The following is a 17,960-nucleotide window of genomic DNA, read 5'->3' on the forward strand; positions in this document are numbered from 1 at the left end:
GGCACACACTGCCACACCTGCCCTCCCAACAACCCCGACACAGACACTGTTGTTAACCCTCCTTTTACAGATGAGGAAACTGAAGCTAATTTGCTCATGGTAACACAGGTAGGAAAGTGGCTAAGTTCAGCTGGAGAAAAGGAAAATTCTGAAAGACTTTAAGATACATCTTATTCAAAAGCATTTGGTGAACATAAAAAAGTACCCAAGGCATAATATTAAGTGAACCAAGCTTCTTATAAAGCAGTATGAGTCCTGTGTGATCCCAACTTTATAAAAAAAGATGCATATGTCAATAAATGCACAGAAAAGGGTATACCCCGAAATGTTAATAATGGTGATCTCTTGTTTATGACACAGAATTTTGATTGGTCTTTGGGTTTTTCTGTAACTTTAAAATGTTAAACAATAACCGTGTATTATCTTAATAATGGGGGAAGTCACAGAAAAAGTGCTTTTCAAAAACATGAAATAAATAAGCCCATGTAGGGCCTACAGGGGAGTGCAGTCACCTGGGCCTCATAGGGTTGGCAAAGGCAAGGATGACTGCTCCAAGGTATAGCCAGCTCGCTGGCCAGCCCATCTACCCATCCACCTACCTATTCACCCATCCACCCAGCCATCTACCCACCATCCACCCATCTACCCATCTACCTACCCATCTCCCTACCCATCTACCCATTCACCTAACCATCTACCCATCTAGCCATCTGCCCATTCACCCACCCATCTACCCATCTACCTACCCATCCACCTACCCACCAAGCCATCCACTCATCCACCTAACCATTTACCCATATGCCTATTTAGGCACCCATCTACCTACCTATCCACCCATTCACCAATCTACCCAACCACCTACCCATCCATCCATCCACCAACCCATCCACCTAGCCACCTGCTCATTCACCTACCTACCTACCCATCCACCTAACCATCCACCTAGCCACCTGCTCATCCACCTACCTACCTGCCCATCCACCTAGCCACCTGCTCATTCACCTACCTACCTACCCATCCACCTACCTACCTGCCCATCCACCTAGCCACCTGCTCATTCACCTACCTACCTACCCATCCACCTAACCATCCACCTAGCCACCTGCTCAGCCACCTACCTACCTGCCCATCCACCTAGCCACCTGCTCATTCACCTACCTACCTACCCATCCACCTAACCATCTGCTCATCCACCTAACCATCCACCTAGCCACCTGCTCATTCACCTACCTACCTATCCATCCACCTAGCCACCACCTGCTCATTCACCTACCTACCTACCCATCCACCTAACCATCCACCTAGCCACCTGCTCATCCACCTACCTACCTGCCCAGCCACCTAACCATCCACCTAGCCACCTGCTCATCCACCTACCTACCTGACCATCCACCATCCATCTATCTATCTAATCTATCAAATCTATTTTATCTATCTTTCTATCTATCATTTATCTGCTGGTGCCTTAAGCAGTTATGTTTGTAGCTGCAGGAAACCATCCTCAAACTCTTTCCTCCTGGGGACCAAGACAGCCACCGATAGAGCCCTGCCCAGGGCTGTGGACAGGCACCAAGCTTTTCTCTTGGTTAGCTCCCCCACGTCACACTGCCTGAACCAGTGACCCCAGCTTCCCTTGTTTAGAGGAGCCAAACTCCTCTAAACAGATGAACAGCAGCAGCAAAGAGGAGTGAACACCCCTCTGTCCCTCAGCAGCTGGGCTGCTGGGCTCGAGACTTACCGGGCGCTTGGTGAGGTCCCAGTTGTGGATGATCCTGGCCGGAATCACTGAGGCATCGTCTTGGTGGCAGATGTCACAGTAATAGAGGCCAGAGAAGGCACAGAGCTTGGGTCGTACAAAGGAGAAGCCGATCTGCCGGGAGCAGCCTGGGGAGATGGGTGGAGAGTGAGTGGTGTGGCCAGAGTCAGCTCCTAGTAACTTGGGAGCTGCTGTGGTGGAAAGGATCTGCTGGTTGATTTTTTTTTAAGGTAGGCACAAACACAAGAATAACCACCACTCGTATTTCCACCACTCAGAACTCCCCTACTAATTAATCTTTACAACAACACACTGTAAGAACTATCATTATTTTACAGCTGAAGAAATGGATGCTCAGAGAGGTTAGGAAATCTGTCTGGTCACATAGTGATGAAGTGGCATGGCTGGCATTCAGATCTGGGTTTGGCTGGTTCCAGAGCCTGAGTTCTGCTCCACTACCCCTTGCTGCCTGTGTCCGGTGTCCCCACTGCTGGCTTGGCAATGCCAGCCTCCTCTAGGTCCACCCCTCCACTCGGGCCCCATAATGGAAGCAGCAGAGTAGGGGCTGTGGCAAGCAGTGAAGTAGCTGGGGGACAGGGACCGGGGTCGGGGCTGGCAACAGGGAGTGGATGGGTAGCCAGCAGGGGGCAGGGGAGCGTGCACAGTATCTGATGCCTCGGGACTGTGGGGCAGGGCTGGCTTCAGCCCCCTTGGTTGGAGGTGTCTCCACAGCCGGGGCCAGTGGGAATGGGAGTGGGATGTGCCCTGGGCAAAAAGCAGAGGCCCTGACTCAAACCCTGAACATGTGCCGTAACTCCTCCAGGGGCAGGCAGAAGGGTCCCCGGGCCTTGGGACCAGAGGGCGGGCTCTGCTCCTCACCCGCTGCCTCACCCTGACCTTCACCTGATTTCTTCAAGGTTCCATTTCAGTGACTGTAAAATTCAGCTACTACCAGCTATTTTGTGGGGTTATTACAAAGCTTAAATGAGACAAGGTTCTGCAAGTACCCTGCAAATTATGAAATACAACCCAGATGCCAGTGGTTGGTGTCTGCCACTGAGCCATGCCTGCTGGGTAGAAAGGAAACCCAAACTCCCCGGTGGCACAGTCCCACCCGCTGGTGGGTGGCAGCCATGGTGAGAGTTGCCCCCGCAGCATTCACACCCACAGGCGAGGAACCCTTTCTTGCAAGCCCTGGAGTCCTGGCCCCCTCAGAGCCTGGCCTCCACAGGCTGAAGAGCAAAGTGTGAGTGCTGGGGCAGGCGGGGGAGAGGTCAAGCGAGGCTTGCAGGTGTTTTCTGCAGGAAGCTCTGTTCTGCCTAGCTTCTCCCATCCTCCCGGGGCCAACCGCAGACTGCTTCCTTTCAGACGCTTGAAACAGGCTTCCCTCCAGTCTGTGCCAACAGGACAGCTCCCAAACCAAGGCTCAGCTTCTTGCTCTGGCCTTCTGCAGCAGGACAACCCCCTCACAGGTCACCTAAGGGTCCCATGGTGATGGGATGCCATCTGCCTCTGGATGGTGGGGGGAGTGGGAGGAGCTAACAATGGAACATGGGCAGGGGGATGTCACTCAACCTTGAATAAGACCCTAGAGGGATGCCCTCTAGGGTCCTGCCTATGAGCAAAGGCTCTGGGGCCTGACTGTCAGGGTCCCATTTCTGCCTCTGGCCAGGCATGGTTGCTGATATCTGTAATCCCAGCACTTTGGGAGGCTGAAGCAGGAGGATCACTTGAGCCTAGGAGTTCAAGACTAGCTTGAGCAACAGGGGGAGACCCCATCTCTACTAAAACAAACAAACAAACAAACAAAAAAGGAAAATTCTGCCTCTGCCACTTACTAGCTGTGTGAGCTCAGTAGCAGACACCAACCAGGTACTTACCAGCTCTGTGCTTCAATTTCCTCCCCTATCAACAGAGATGATAATAGTAGCGCCTATCTCTACAGGGTTGTTATGAGACTTAAATGAGATAATCCAAATAAAGCAGCTGGCCCAGTGCCCAGCACAGAAGTATTAGATTTGATGATGAGGAAGACATAGCAGATGTACTGATTTGGAATAACATCCACAGTGTAGGAAAAAACCAAGTTGTGGAACAATATATCCAGCATTCAACACAGCAGCCAAGAGCCCCGTGTGTCCCCTTTAAATGTATGAATTTAAATGGAAAATTCAGTTGCTTAACCACACTAGCCACACTTTAAGCACCTGGTAGCACTACATGGCTCGCAGCTATGGCACTGGACACACAGATCTAGGACATTTTCATCATCACAGAAAGTTCTATTGGACAGCACTGAATAGCACGAGCCCATTTTTGTAATTAAAAAAAAAGGGTGTACACTTAGAAAAGCAGCAGAAATATTTGGAAGGAAACCATGCCCCTGCTCTGAAAGAACAGGACAGTAGAGCAAGAAGAAAATGAAGCAGGCTGGGACTCCCTGAGCAGCGCAGTGACTAGCCAGCCTGTGGCCCATCAGTGGGAGGTGCCAGGAGAGGGACGGGTGAGCAGGGCCCACTGCCTATGAGCAGGGCACTGGCCCCAGCCGGGGCTGGGGAGGAGCAGAAGCTGTAGGGCAAGCCTGATCTGTGGCCTCATCCCTAGGGGAAGGATGGGGGCATTTGCGGGGAGGCAGAAGGGTGGGGAGCCTAAATCAGGAACCAGCAGGAGGCGGAGTGAGGCTGGCAGGCTGGGGGTGGCAGCAGAGCAAGTCGGCACCTGCGCAGAAGCAGCCTTGGGAGTCAAGGCCTTTCTCCATGGGGATGGCCACCAGGTACTGCAGCAGGAAGCCATTCTCCCGGGTGGCAAATTTCAGCACCTCCTGACAGTTTTCATCCAGGCTCCCGCCCAGGGTCACCGCCTCCTCGGCTGTCTCCAAGTAGGATGCCAGGACTTTGCGGACCAGATCCCTCCACAGGGCGGCTTCCTCGGCGTTTCCGGCCTGCAGCTTCAGGACAGCCTTGGCCGTGATGATTTTGAAGAAGGATGGGCCCCCAAGGCTGGTGTCTGGCAGGATGTCCCGGATGGTCTCCACGCCGTGGCTGTCACTCAGCATCTTCTCATTGTTCCTGATGCGGAAACATTTCAGAGCCTCCAAGGGCAGAGAAAATATATAGGGCATCCAGGTCCTGTCCATGTACAAGTACAGCAGGGACTCCTTGATGGCATCTAGCTCTGGAACCTGGGCGGACGACCAGTCAGACTGTGTGCCCTGGAGGGCCGCGGGCTCCGAGAGCAGGTCTGAGGGAGAGAGGCAGCCCTGGGGCGCCTCGGGGGGTTCCTCAGGCTGGTCTGAGTACTGCACGTTCACCCACTCATCCTCCTGCTGAGGCCGGACCTTCTGCAGGGCCTCCCGCACCAGGTCCAGCCAGTCCTCAGCTTCGTCCTGGGAGGAGGCGCGCAGGGCCAGCTTCTTGCCAGAGAAGACCAGCTCAAAGCGCCCGTCACTGTGGGCTGGCCCCACAGACTCACAGCGAAGCAGGGAGCAGTTCTCCACACAGGTGTGCTCCTCGTTGCTCAGGTAGAGGCGGAACTCCAGTGGGGAGAGCTCGCAGAAGAGCTCCTTCCAGATGCCCATTGCCCCCTGCCGCTCCACGGTGCCCAGCTTCATGAGACCCTGGAATGGGTTGGACAGTCCTGGAGGCAGAGGCAAAAAGGGGCACATTAGTTGGCGGGCCTGTCTCTGTCCTGCCCAAGGCAGCCTCTGCTGCCTGATGCCCTGCAGTGCATGTGGCCAGTGACTGTCCCCAGAACACAGGCCAGCCACGGGGCACTATCACATGGGACCCTGAAAGCTGGATGGGAACATCCCCATTCTCACCGTCCACTGCTGCTCTTGCATCCTGTATTTCACTGAGAAAATAAGAGCACCCAAAAGATCACCTCCACACGCCCTGTTCCCTACACCCACGCCTTCCCTCCTGTTGCCAGGGATGAACCAAGTGTGCTTCTTTCTGCGTGAGGCCAAACCCTCCATTTGTGCAGGAGGTCTCTCCCTTGGCCAACTACTCAAGGACAAGGAGCAGTCCTTCTCTCCTCTGTCGCTGCTTTCTTCCTTCTCTATGGGGTGACTCCCATCGGCACACATGCACGCTGTCATTTCTCCCATCTTTAGAAATACCTCTCATCTCCACGCACTTCCCTAATGACCACCATGTTTCTCAGGCCCCTTTACAGAAAACCTGTTTGAAGAGGCATCAAAACTGTTCATCTTGGCCGGAAGCGGTGGCTCACGCCTGTAATCCCAGCACTTCGGGAGGCTGAGGTGGGTGGATCACTTGAGGTCAGGAGTTTGAGACCAGCTTGGTCAACACGGTGAAACCCCATCTCTACTAAAAATACAAAAATTAGCCAGGTGTGGTGAGCACCTGTAATCCCAGCTACTAGGGAGGCTGAGGCAGGAGAATGGCTTGAACCGGGGAGGCAGGGGATTGCAGTGAGCTGAGGTCACTCCACTGCACTTCAGCCTGGGTGACAGAGGAGTGAGACTCCGTCTCAAACAAAACAAAAAACCTCTTGGTCTCTAGTTTCCCTGCTCCCATTCCTTCTCAAACCTGCTCCAAGTAGGCTTCTCTCCCCTCATTCTACTGACACTGCTTCTGAGATGGTCAATGCCCTCCTCGTTGCCAACCCCCAAGGCCACTCCTCAGCCCTCGCCCCCACCCTTCTATCTCTCTGGCTCGGTCCTCCCTGTGGCCTCTCACGTTAGAGTGCCCAGATGTCAGTCCTGGGTCCTTGTCTCCTCTCTGTAGATGCCACTTTCTCACCACTCTACCTGCTCTCAGGCTTTAGCTCCCAATTTTTATCGCCAGCCTGGACCTTGTTCTTGAAATCCACATTCATATATCCACCTGTGCCATACATGTCCACTAGGATCTCAGCTGACATGTCCAGGATGAATTCCTGCTGCCAGCCTGCTTCCTCCTGAATGGTCCTCATCTCACCAAATAGCAAAATTCATCCTTCCAGATGCTTGGGCTAAAAATCTTGGTGTTACCCCAGGTTTTCTTTCTTTCGCAGCCTACATCAGCAAATCCCATTGGCTCTGCCTTCCACACATCCGGAATCCCCGCCTCTCCCCAGCCGCACCCCACCCACTGTCATCTCTGGCCTGGCTTGTGATGACAACCTCCTAACTGGTCTTTCTCCCCTTCTCCCCGTAGTCCCTCAACGTAGGAGCCATCATGACCCATTTAAAGGGAAGTCAGAGCATGTCCCCCTGCCCCAAAACTCCACAGTGGCTGCCATCTCCCTTAGCTGAAGCCAAAGTGCTTCCAGTGGCCCACAGGCCTCGTCAGATTGACCTCGTCGCTCACTGCCACACCCCCATCTCCTCTCTCCTGCCACTCTGGTCTCCACTGTCCCTGGATGTGTCAAGCGCAGCCCCAGCGCAGGGTCTTTGCATTTGTTCTCCTTGCTTGAAACACGTACATTGCCTCATGACTCCTTCCCTCTCTCCCCTCGCATCTCCTCAAACATCCCCTTATTGGTGAGGGCTTTTCTGGCCATCCTATATGCAGTGGTCCACTCTCTACCTCTGTAGACAGGTAGAGATTTACTGTCCTCCATAGCACTTATTACCACCTGACCACACACTATGCTTACTTGTTAATTTTATTTCCCGTCTCCTCTACTAGAATCTAAATCCCATGAAGACAGGGCCACTGCTTTGCTGCCTGCTATGTCCCCAGCACTTAGAACAGTGCCTGGCACATCACAGAGCCTCAATAATATTTGCTGAATGAATGAGCAGGTGAGTGCCTATGTATCACATGTTGCCCAAAGCTCCCTGCTGCCTGGGGTGTGACAACAACCAGAGTGTCCAAAGGACACACAATTCTCTCTCCGCCAGCCTGGAATAGCCTTGGAGATTTCACACTATTCTATGGGGGTTCCCTACCCCTCAAGAAACCTGATGGCCTAGACCTGAAGCACAGCTTCGCTGGCAGGTTAGAGACCACAGCCATCACACGGGCCGACAGACAAACCTAACAGAAGCCAGCCCGGAGACTGGGCTCTACCCACACAACCCATGCCAGGGCTACCCACAGCAAGGCCCCCTGAGCTGGGCAGGATTCTCTGCTGGGTCACTGCAAACAGAAAATGAGGAGAGAAAGAGACCAATTCTAGAGCGTACTTTTTTTGTTTGTTTTGAAGAGGAAACCCATCATGAGGGTTACTGAAAAATTTGGTTATGGTTATTTAAGGCTTTCTGGAATTTCAGTGTGTGGAGATCAAGCTGACCTTGCTGTAAAAAGCACTGGGGAGGTCGGGCATGGTGGCTCACACCTGTAATCCCAGCACTTTGGGAGGCCAAGGTGGGTGGATCACATGAGGCCAAGAGTTCAGACCAGCGTGGCCAACATGGCAAAATCCTATGTCCACTGGAAATACAAGAATCACCTGGGTGTGGCAGTGCATGTCTGTAATCCCAGCTCCTGGGGAGACTGAGGCACTTGAGCTGGGAGGCAAAGGCTGCAGTGAGCTGAGATTATACCACTGTACTCCAGACTGGGTGACAGAGCAAGACTCTGCCTCAGAAAAAAAAAAAAAAAAAAAGGAAGCACTGGAGGACATTAAACAAATAGCAGATCCTCCAGCCTGGCCAACATAGCAAAACACCATCTTTATTAAAAATGTAAAAATTGGCCGGGCGCAGTGGCTCATGCCTGTAATCCCAGCACTTTAGGAGGCCGAGGCGGGTGGATCACCGGAGGTCGGGAGTTGGAGACCAGCCTAACCAATTTCGAGAAACCCCGTCTCTACTAAAAATACAAAATGAGCCAGGCATTGTGGCTCATGCCTGTAATCCCAACTACTCGGGTGGCTAAAGCAGAAGAATTGCTTGAACACGGGAGGCGGAGGTTGTGGTGAGCTGAGATCACATGATTGCACTCCAGCCTGGGCAACAAAAGGGAAACTCCACCTCAAAAAAAAAAAAAAAAAAAAGCAAAAATTAGCCAGGTGTGGTGGCAGGTGCCTGTAATCCCAGCTATTTGGGAGGCTGAGACAGGAGAATTGCTTGAACCCAGGAGGCTGAGGTTGCAGTGAGCAGAGATCATGCCACTGCACTCCAGCCTAGGCGACAAAGGGAGACTCCATCTCAAAACAAACAAACAAACAAAACAAATAGCAGATTTGATCAAGCCACCCAGAGCTGTTACATAAACCAACTACTGAGGGTAAACACGTTTGGAAGGACCATTTAAAACACCTGGGGCTTCATGGGGCTGGATGTGCTCTGAGCTACAGGTGGAATCAAGAGTTTTCTATAATCATAAATTGCATAGTTTTCAGGGAAAATATTTTCCTATTTGACTGGTGAAACAGTATTTTTGTCCTCTGTAGGCAGTTTTGAGACAATATACTACTTTTCCTGAAATGCTTCCCTGAATGAACATGATTATGATGGCATTCTGGAATGAGGTTTTATAACACTTGTGGGAACACACTACCCCTTTAGCAATGGAAAACAGAACTTCACAGCTGCCTTCTGAAAGGCCTGGTCCCTGCAGATGGGACCCACCCGGGACCCTCCTGGTCACCTACCCATCTGCCTCCGGTGTACCACCTGGAAACTCTTATGCCCCTGGGATGGGGCTGCCTGGGCTTGCCTTCTTCCTGGGGAAGGTACACACGCTTGGTCTAACGCCCCCAGGGAGCAGTTTTTTCTTGGTTCTTGAGAAAAATGCCTGTGGAGACCAGGCCTTGACTCTGGAGTCCCCCTGTAAGAAGCTATTGGGTGGTCTGAAGCACTCTTCAGGGGTTGCTCCCGGGAAGGCCGGTAGAAGTCATCCTCTGAGATCCAGCTCTTGTTTTTCTGTTGGGAAAGAAGACAACAGTTGTTTGTTTTAAAGTTTTTTTGTTTTGAGACGGAGTCTCGCTCTGTTGCCCAGGCTGGAGTGTAATCGCGCAACCTTGGCTCACTGCAACCTCTGACTCCTGGGTTCAAGCGATTCTCCTGCCTCAGTCTCCCAAGTAGCTGGGATTACAGGCACCCACCACCATGCCCAGCTAATTTTTGTATTTTTAGTAGAGGCGGGGTTTCACCATGTTGGCCAGGCTGGTCTAGAACTCCTGACTTCAGGTGAGCCACCTGCCTCGGCCTCCCAAAGTGTTGGGATTACAGGTGTGAGTCACTGTGCCCAGCCTGAAGTTTTTTTTTTTTTTTTTAAGTCTTTATCTAGATATGGCTCTTATATCATAAAATTAACCCACTTAAAGTATGTAATTCGGCCAGCCATGGTGGCTCACACCTGTAATCCCAGCACTTTGGGAGGCTGAGGTGAGAGGATCACCTGAGCCCAGGAGTTTGAGACCAACCTGGGCAACACAGTGAGAACCCATCTCTACAAAAAATAACTAGCTGGGTGTGATGGCACACACCTGTAGTCTCAGCTACTGAGGAGGCTGAAGAGTGAGAATCGCTTGAGCCAGGGAGGTCAAGGCTGCAGTGAGCCGTGATCACGCCACTGCCCTCCAGCCTGGTTGCAGCCTAGGCAACAGAATGAGACCCCATCTCTAAAAAAATAAATAAATAAAGTGTCCAATTCAAACATTTTGGCTTAGTCAGAGTTGGGCAATCGTCACCACCACCTAAGTTTAGCAAATTTTCCTCACCCAAAATGGAAACCCCATACCCATTAGCCATCATCCCCATTTCCCCTGGCCACTCTCAGCTCTAGGCACCTACTTATCTACTTTCGGTCCCTACACACCTGCCTGTTCTGGATATCTCATATAGATGGAACCATATGACATGTGACCTTTTGTGCCTGGCTTCTTTCTCTTAGTGGAAGGTTTTCAAGGTGCATCCATGTTATATAAGCATGTTTAAGTGTTCATTCCTTTTTATTGCCAAATAATATTCCATTGTCTCGATCCACCACATTTGGCTTATCCACTCCTCGGCTGATGGACATTTGGGTTGTTTCTACTTTTTGTCAATTATGAATAGTGCTGCTATGATCACTTATACACAAGTTTTTGTGTAGACATGTTTCATTGTCTTGGGTATATACTTAGGAGTAGACTTGCTGGGTCATGTGTAACTCTATGTTTCCCTTCTTGAGGAACTACCAAGCTGTTTTCCAAAGTGGCCGCACCATTTTATATTCCCACCAGCAATGTACGAGGGTTCCAATTTCTCTCCTTGGGAAATCTATCCAAATCCATTGGAATCTACTCAAATCCATTGTCTGTCTTAAAATGGGGCTGTCTTTTTGTTGCTGAGTTGTGTTGTGGGTTGAATTGTGACCCCCCCACAAAAGGACATGTTGAAACCCTACCCCCCAGTACCTCAGAATGTGACCTTTTTTGGAAATATAGTCTTTGCAGAAGTAATTAGTTAAGATGAGGTCATGTTGGAGTAGAATGGGCTGTTCATCCAGTATGACTGATGTCCTTATAAGAGGAGGAGAAAAGATACACAAAGAGAGGAGAACACCAAGTGAAGACAGAGATACAGAGGAAGAACTTGTATGACAGCAGAACATGTGTGACAGCAGAGGGGAGACCGGAGTGACATGTCTACAAGCCAAGGAATGCAAACGAGCACCTGCAACGCCAAAACCCAGGAGAAAGGCGGGAACAGATTCTTCCTTAGATTCTCCAGAAGGAGCCTCCAGAACGATCAGAGAATAAATACCAGTTTTGTTTTGTTTTTGAGACAGAACCTCACTCTGTCACCCAGGCTGGAGTGCAATGGTGCAATCTCAGCTCACTGCAACCCCCGCCTCCCAGGTTCAAGCAATTCTGCTGCCTCGGCCTCCCGAGTAGCTGGGGTTACAGATGCTTGCCACCATGCCCGGCTAATTTTTGTATTTCTAGTAGAGACAAAACCTTGTCGGCCAGGCTGGTCTTGAACTCCTGACCCCAGGTGACCCACTTGCCTCAGCCTTCCAAAGTGCTGGGATTACAGGCGTGAGCCACTGTGCCTGGCCTATTTTGTTTTGTTTTGAGGCAGGGTCTCGCTCTTTGCCCAGACTGGAGTACAGTGGTGCAATCAGGGCTCATTGCAGCCTTGACTGCCCAGGCTCAAGCAATCCTCCTGCTTTAGCCCCACTGAATAGCAGAGACTACAGGCATGCACCAGCACGCCCAGCAAATTTTTTATATTTTTAGTAGAGATGGGGTTTCACCATGTTGGCCAGGCTGGTCTTGAACTCCTGGACTCAAGTGATCCGCCCACCCTTGCCTCCCAAAGTGCTGAGGTCACAGGCATGAGCCACCTGCCCAGCAATGTCTGTTTTTGTTTTTTGTTTTGTTGTTGTTGAGACAGAGTCTTGCTCTGTCGCCCAGGCTGGAGTGCAGTGGCACAATCCTGGCTCACTGCAAGCTCCGCTTCCCGGGTTCATGCCATTCTCCTGCCTCAGCCTCCTGTGTAGCTGGGACTACAGGTGCCTGCCACCACGCCCAGCTAATTTCTGTTTTGTATTTTTAGTAGAGACGGTGTTTCACCATGTTAGCCAGGATGGTCTCGATCTCCTGACCTCATGATCCGCCCGCCTCGGCCTCCCAAAGTGCTGGGATTGCAGGCATGAGCGACTGCGCCCAGCCAATGTCTGTTGTTTTAAACCACCCTGTGTATGGTACTTTGTTATGGCGGCCCTAGGGACTAATTCAAGTTGTAAGGTGCTTTATATATTCTGAATACGAGACCCTTATCAGATTTATGATTTGCAAATAATTTCTCCCATTCTGTGAGGTGTCTTTTCATTTTCCGGATGGTGTGCCCTCTGGAGCACATAAATTGTTAGTTTTGATAAAGTCTAGTTTATCTATTTTTGTTGTTGTTTTTGTGCTTCTGGTGTTGCATCTTAAAAAACCATTGCCTAAGTCAGTATCACAAAGATTCACTTCTGTGTTTTCTGCCAAGAGCTATATAGTTTTAGCTCTTACATTTAGGTTTCTGGTCCATTTTGAGTTAGTTTTTGTGTAAGGTGTAAGGAAGGGGTGTTATTATTTTGCATGTGGGTATTCAGCTGTCCCAGCATGTAGGGTTTCTCAGTCCTGCTTTTGGGTTTGAGATGAGGGAGTCCTGGCGAGCAGGCCTCAGGGTCCTCATTGGCCGCCTCTGTCTCTGCCGCCCACTTCTGTGCAGGCCCCTGCGACCCCAGGCAGCCAGGCCCTGCCCCTTCCCTTCGTTGTTCTCTTTTGAATCTGAAGCTGCTCATTGGCTGGGGAAGATGGGGTTGCGGGGAGCATCTGGGGTGAGTGGGCTTGTGGGAGTGGATTCTGGTTCCTTTTCTCCAGTATTTCAAGTCCTCCCTGGCATTCTGTGCCTCAACATGGAAGGGCAGAGGCAAGGAAGCTGGCTGGGCCAACTCTAAGTGGCTGTGTACACAGAGGAAATGAGTCACACAAGCAGTGGGACCAGCCCCGCTGTTTTGTGAAGTGCCACTAACCTCACCCTGACATCGCTATTTCCAGTCCCTGAATCAAGAGTGCACTCCCTGCTTTGTAAACAGGGAAGGGTTGGTTTGGACAGTTGGATCCATTCAGATGCTACACGACTCCTCAAGCCAAGGGTGGCAAGTTCTGACTCAGGCAACTTGAGGGGTGGCTCACAGAACTAGGTCCCCAGAGACTCCTCCATGGGGCCTTCAGAATTGGCAGGTGCTTCCCCCCTGCCAGTGACAGATGATGTGTCAGTCAGGGCAGCCACTGGGGACCATCCACAACACTAGATTCTGAGCAAAGCCTGCCTAGGTCATCAAGAACTGGGGGACCTCCCTGAGGAAAATGGGTGGGAGAAACAGCTCCCTGGCAACCATGTGGCTGTCCTGGCAGCCTCACATATACCTGGGAAGTTGTGTGATCTCCAGCGCCTGGTGGGAGAGGGCACTGTCCCTGAAGACTCAGCTCAGGAGACATCCATCGCCTCTGCCTGGAAGCTTCTCTCACCCTTCCCCAGCCTCCACCCCTTCCCACCCCCTAGCTGGGTTAGGGCCCCTACTGGGATCCCACAATATTCTGTGCTTACCCTCATTCTAGCATCTATAAGGCTGTTTGGAATGGTTTTCTTGATATCTCCAGCAAGTGCCTGCCAGAGTCATACAAGATGAGGGAATAAATCATGACCATCCCAATGTCTTTAACATAAAATAACAAAGGTGGGTCAAGTGGACTGGAAGGAAGGAGACAAATGTAAATTTTAAGATTATGGACATTCAGAATGGGCGTGATGGATCATGCCTGTAATCCCAGCACTTTGGGGGGCCGAGGCAGGAAAATTGCTTGAGGCCAGAAGTTTGAGACCAGCCTGGCCAACATGGAGAAACCCCATCTCTACTAAAAGTACAAAAATTAGCTGGGCATGGTGGTGCATGCCTGTAATCTCAGCTACTCGGGAGGCTGAGGCACAAGAATTGCTTGAGCCTTGGAGGCAGAGGTTGCAGTGAGCCGAGATGGATGGAGCTATTGCACTCCCACCTGGGCAACAGCGCAAGAGTCTGTCTCAAAAAAAAAAAAAAAGTTTATGGACATTCACTGGGGAGGACTTCTCTCTCCTTTGAGGAAAAACACTACTAGGAAATGTTCAGACACAGTCCATTGAGCACAGCTGCCAGGAAATGAAACTAGGGAACATCTTTTACTCTCTTAAGCAACAGGGAAAAAACAGTGGAAATGCAGGTTCCTCGGAGCTTCTGCACATGGGCCTGGACAGAGCTCTGAGGCTGTGTGCCCCTGGCCCCAGGCGGGTGGGGAGCAGAGAGAGGGTGTGAGAGAGAGTGCACGCATGAACACCACTGTTTCTCTCTTCTCTCCTTTTTTTCTTTTAGAGATGGAGTCTTACTCTGTTGCCCAGGCTGGATCACAGTGGTGTGATCTCAGCTCACTGCAACATTTGCCTCCCAGTTTCAAGTGATTCTCCTGCCTCAGCCTCCTGAGTAGCTGGGATAACAGGCTCACGCCATCATGCCCGGCTAATTTTTGTATTTTTAGTACAGACGGGGTTTCACCATATTGTTCAGGCTGGTCTCAAACTCCCGACTTCAGGTGATCCACCTGCCTCAGCCTCCCAAAGTGCTGGGATTACAGGCGTGAGCCACCGCACCTGGACCCCTTCTCTCCTTTTTTCCCACCACCTTCCGACAACCTGCTCACTCAGGGTCCATGTCTGGCCAGCACCCTGCCCTTTAACAGTGGAGAGAAACCATCACCGACTAAGGATCTATACCAGAGCTGCAACTGCCACCAGGGACCCAAGACAGAGAAATGCCACCTTGCGTTACTAAAGGGCTCATGACACCATATACAACAGCTGAATCCCCAAGAGGAATGTGGCTGAGGAGTGAGACGAAGGTCTCTGGGACACTTTCAGAAGGATGAGACTTTGTCCAGCCAGTCCTCATTATGCCAGGCAAAGGAACTGCCTGTACTCATAACTGTGGAAGGGGAACCACATACCATGGGCAGGTGGTCCATGGGGGCAGTGATTAAGAGCAAGTCCTAGAACTCACACTGCCTTTTGGGAGTTAAACTGAAACCAACTCACAACCCCCAGATCCCAGACATGCGTCACCCTTGAGAGGCCCCTATTCCCTGCACCTCTCCTTCCCAGTGCTTAGCACAAGTGTAATTATGATGTGGATAATCATTTGTCTAATTTAATGTCTGTCCCCAAAGAGCCTTTGTCTGTCCTGTTGTATCACTCTACCCCTAGGACCTAACATGGTGCTTGGCTTATAGTAGGTGCTTTGGGTTCAATGAATTAAAAATAAATGTTTTTAAAAGAAAGACTGAATGGGCCTCTACACTATAAAACTTGACAGTGACCCCAACATCTCCCCCAAAATAACATCAAATAAAAAGCACGTGGCTAACTGATAGAAGTATAGAAAGATGAGGACCACAGGGGCAGATATGCAGGGCACAGCCTGGCACTGTCCACAGGCCAGGAGCCCAGCAGGCCCACATGAGCTGGCAGGCTATTCAGTGGCACCTGGTGACTACCTACTGAATAAGCAGTGAATGAATCCACAACTTCCCTGTGAGACAGACACAGGACGGGGGCAGGATCCGAGATTCTCACATCGGACTCAGCACCAAGCGCTTAGATGTCACATTCGCTAAGCAACCTTCCAGCAATCAGAGTCCCCTGTAGCTGGCACAGAGGCAGAGCCTGCCATGATCACACCAACCTGACCACCCTGTCCACTCGATGGTACACTTCGCTGACCCACTTTGGCCTCCCAAATTGCTAGGATTAGAGGCGTGAGCTATCACGCCTCGCCTGAACGTCCATAATCTTAAGTTTCACATTTGTCTCCTTCCTTCAAGTCCCCTTGACTTATCTTTGTTATTTTATATTAAAGACATTGGGATGGTCATGATTTATTCACACATCTTGTATGATTCTGGGCCAGGTACTTGCTGGAGATACCAAGAAAAAGAACCATTCCAAACAGCGTTATAGCTAGGATGGGGGAACAAAATAAACTTAGGAATTGGCATCTCAAGAGTCTCTTGGGAGTTCAAGAACTATTCATCCATGCCTACTTTCTCCCAGGTACAGTGCTTGGTGCTGACAATACAGAAGTGAACAGGCCTGGTGCTCTGTATCATAGAGCTAATATTCTAGTAAGGAAGACAGAAAATAAACAAGGAGACAAAGAGATAATATACTGTAATTGCACATAGTGATGAGTGTTATAAGCGAAGTCAAGCAGATGAATGGGACAGAGAGTCACTGGGGATGGTGCTTTTGAGCTACGGGGGTCCGGTCAGGGAAGGCTGAGACAACAATGAAGTGAGTCGGGAAAGAAGGAACAGCAAATGTAAAACCCTGAAGCTGGGCCGGGCACGGTGGCTCATGCCTGTAATCCCAGCACTTTGGGAGGCCAAAGTGGGCAGATCACTTGAGGCCAGGAGTTTGAGACCAGCCTGGTCAACATGGTGAAACCCCATAATTTTGTAAAAATACAAAAATTAGCTGGGCATGGTGGTAGGCATCTGTAATCCCAGCTACTTGGGAGGCTGAGGCATAAGAATAAGTTGAACTTAGGAGGCGGAGGTTTCAGTGAGCTGAGATTGCACCACTGTACTTCAGCCTGGGTGACAGAGTGAGACTCTGCCTCAAAAAAAAATTTTTTTTTCAAAGAAGCCTGATGTTGGAAGGAGTTCGCTTGGACTACAGAGCTGCAAGGAGGCCGGTGGGTCAGAGCTTAGTGAGCAAAGATGCTATTCTGTCCCACCAGCTTTGAGGCCCTGGCAAGATAAGATGCCTGAGCCTGCAAAGCAGAAGCTAGACCATGGGCAGGAGTGAACTCAACATGCTTAGTGCCACTCTGGAGTCCTGTGGGGCGCACAGCCTGCATCCCCAGCAGACGTCACTCTGCCTCCAGCTTGAGGAAGGGGCTGCAGAGCTTTCCTCTTCAGCCTTCAGCTTGAGTTGGCAGGTGCACAGTCACAACCTTCAGGGTCCTAGAGCATTCATTTTCAGGAAGTAAATCTTCAGGATGTACTGAAGCATCTTCAGGATAGCAAATTCGAAGACTCTGACCCACACTGACGGTTTTGTGATTTACATGGTCATATTCAAGAAACAGAGCGAGGCCAATCAGATATCCATATGGAAAAATATGAGGTTTGACTTCTAACACCACACATAAAAATTAATCCCAGAAAGATCATAAACCTAATTGTGAAAGATAAATCACTAAAGCTTCTAGAAGATAATATAGGCAAATACCTTCAGATCCTTGGGGGGAGATGAGTATCTCTTAAATGGGACAAAAACCAAGCAAACCATAAACAAAAAGACTGATAAACTGCACATCATTAAAAGAACCTCTGTTCAATAAAAATACCATTAGGAGGTTTAAAAGTCAAGCCCTATAGACTAGAAAAAGATACTTGATAAATATAGTTTTTGTCCAATGAAAGACTTATATCTGTAATATATAAAGAGTTCCTACAAATCAACACATACACATACAACTCAATTTAAGACCAGAATGACAACTTGGACAGACATTCTATAAAAGAGGATTGACTGGCCAATAAGCAAATGAAAAGGTATCATCATTTAGTCATCAAGGATATGAAAATTAAAACCACTACACATCTACCAGAGTGGCTAAAATTAAAAAGATTGGTAACACCATTGGCCAGGATAAAGAGCAACTAGAATGCTCATTTGTTGCCAATATGAGTATAAATTAGCACAAACACTTTAGAAAACTGTTTGGTGGTGGTATCT

General features: G+C 50.1%; 1 pseudogene across 1 annotated transcript in view, besides 1 other annotated feature; it reads right to left on the reverse strand.

Annotated features, from left to right (window-relative positions):
- The window catches only part of PLEKHM1P1 (pleckstrin homology and RUN domain containing M1 pseudogene 1), a 52,344-nt pseudogene that overhangs the window by 10,685 nt on the left and 23,699 nt on the right, over positions 1–17,960 (reverse strand). Inside the window, exons 5-7 of the transcript NR_024386.2 lie at positions 9,305–9,575; positions 4,475–5,392; positions 1,739–1,884 (exon numbers count right to left, since the gene is read on the reverse strand). The product of NR_024386.2 is annotated as a pleckstrin homology and RUN domain containing M1 pseudogene 1 (transcript). The remainder of the gene's footprint in view (positions 1–1,738; positions 1,885–4,474; positions 5,393–9,304; positions 9,576–17,960) is intronic.
- Positions 2,530–3,030: an enhancer, noted in NCBI's record as "H3K4me1 hESC enhancer chr17:62794173-62794673 (GRCh37/hg19 assembly coordinates)". NCBI's record gives its function as "activates a minimal SCP1, AML or CMV promoter by ChIP-STARR-seq in primed H9 embryonic stem cells {active_cell/tissue: H9 hESC(primed)}" and the evidence as "EXISTENCE:reporter gene assay evidence [ECO:0000049][PMID:30033119]".

The sequence above is a fragment of the Homo sapiens genome, chromosome 17 (assembly GCF_000001405.40).
Source record: "Homo sapiens chromosome 17, GRCh38.p14 Primary Assembly".
Taxonomy (NCBI): Eukaryota; Metazoa; Chordata; class Mammalia; order Primates; family Hominidae; genus Homo; species Homo sapiens.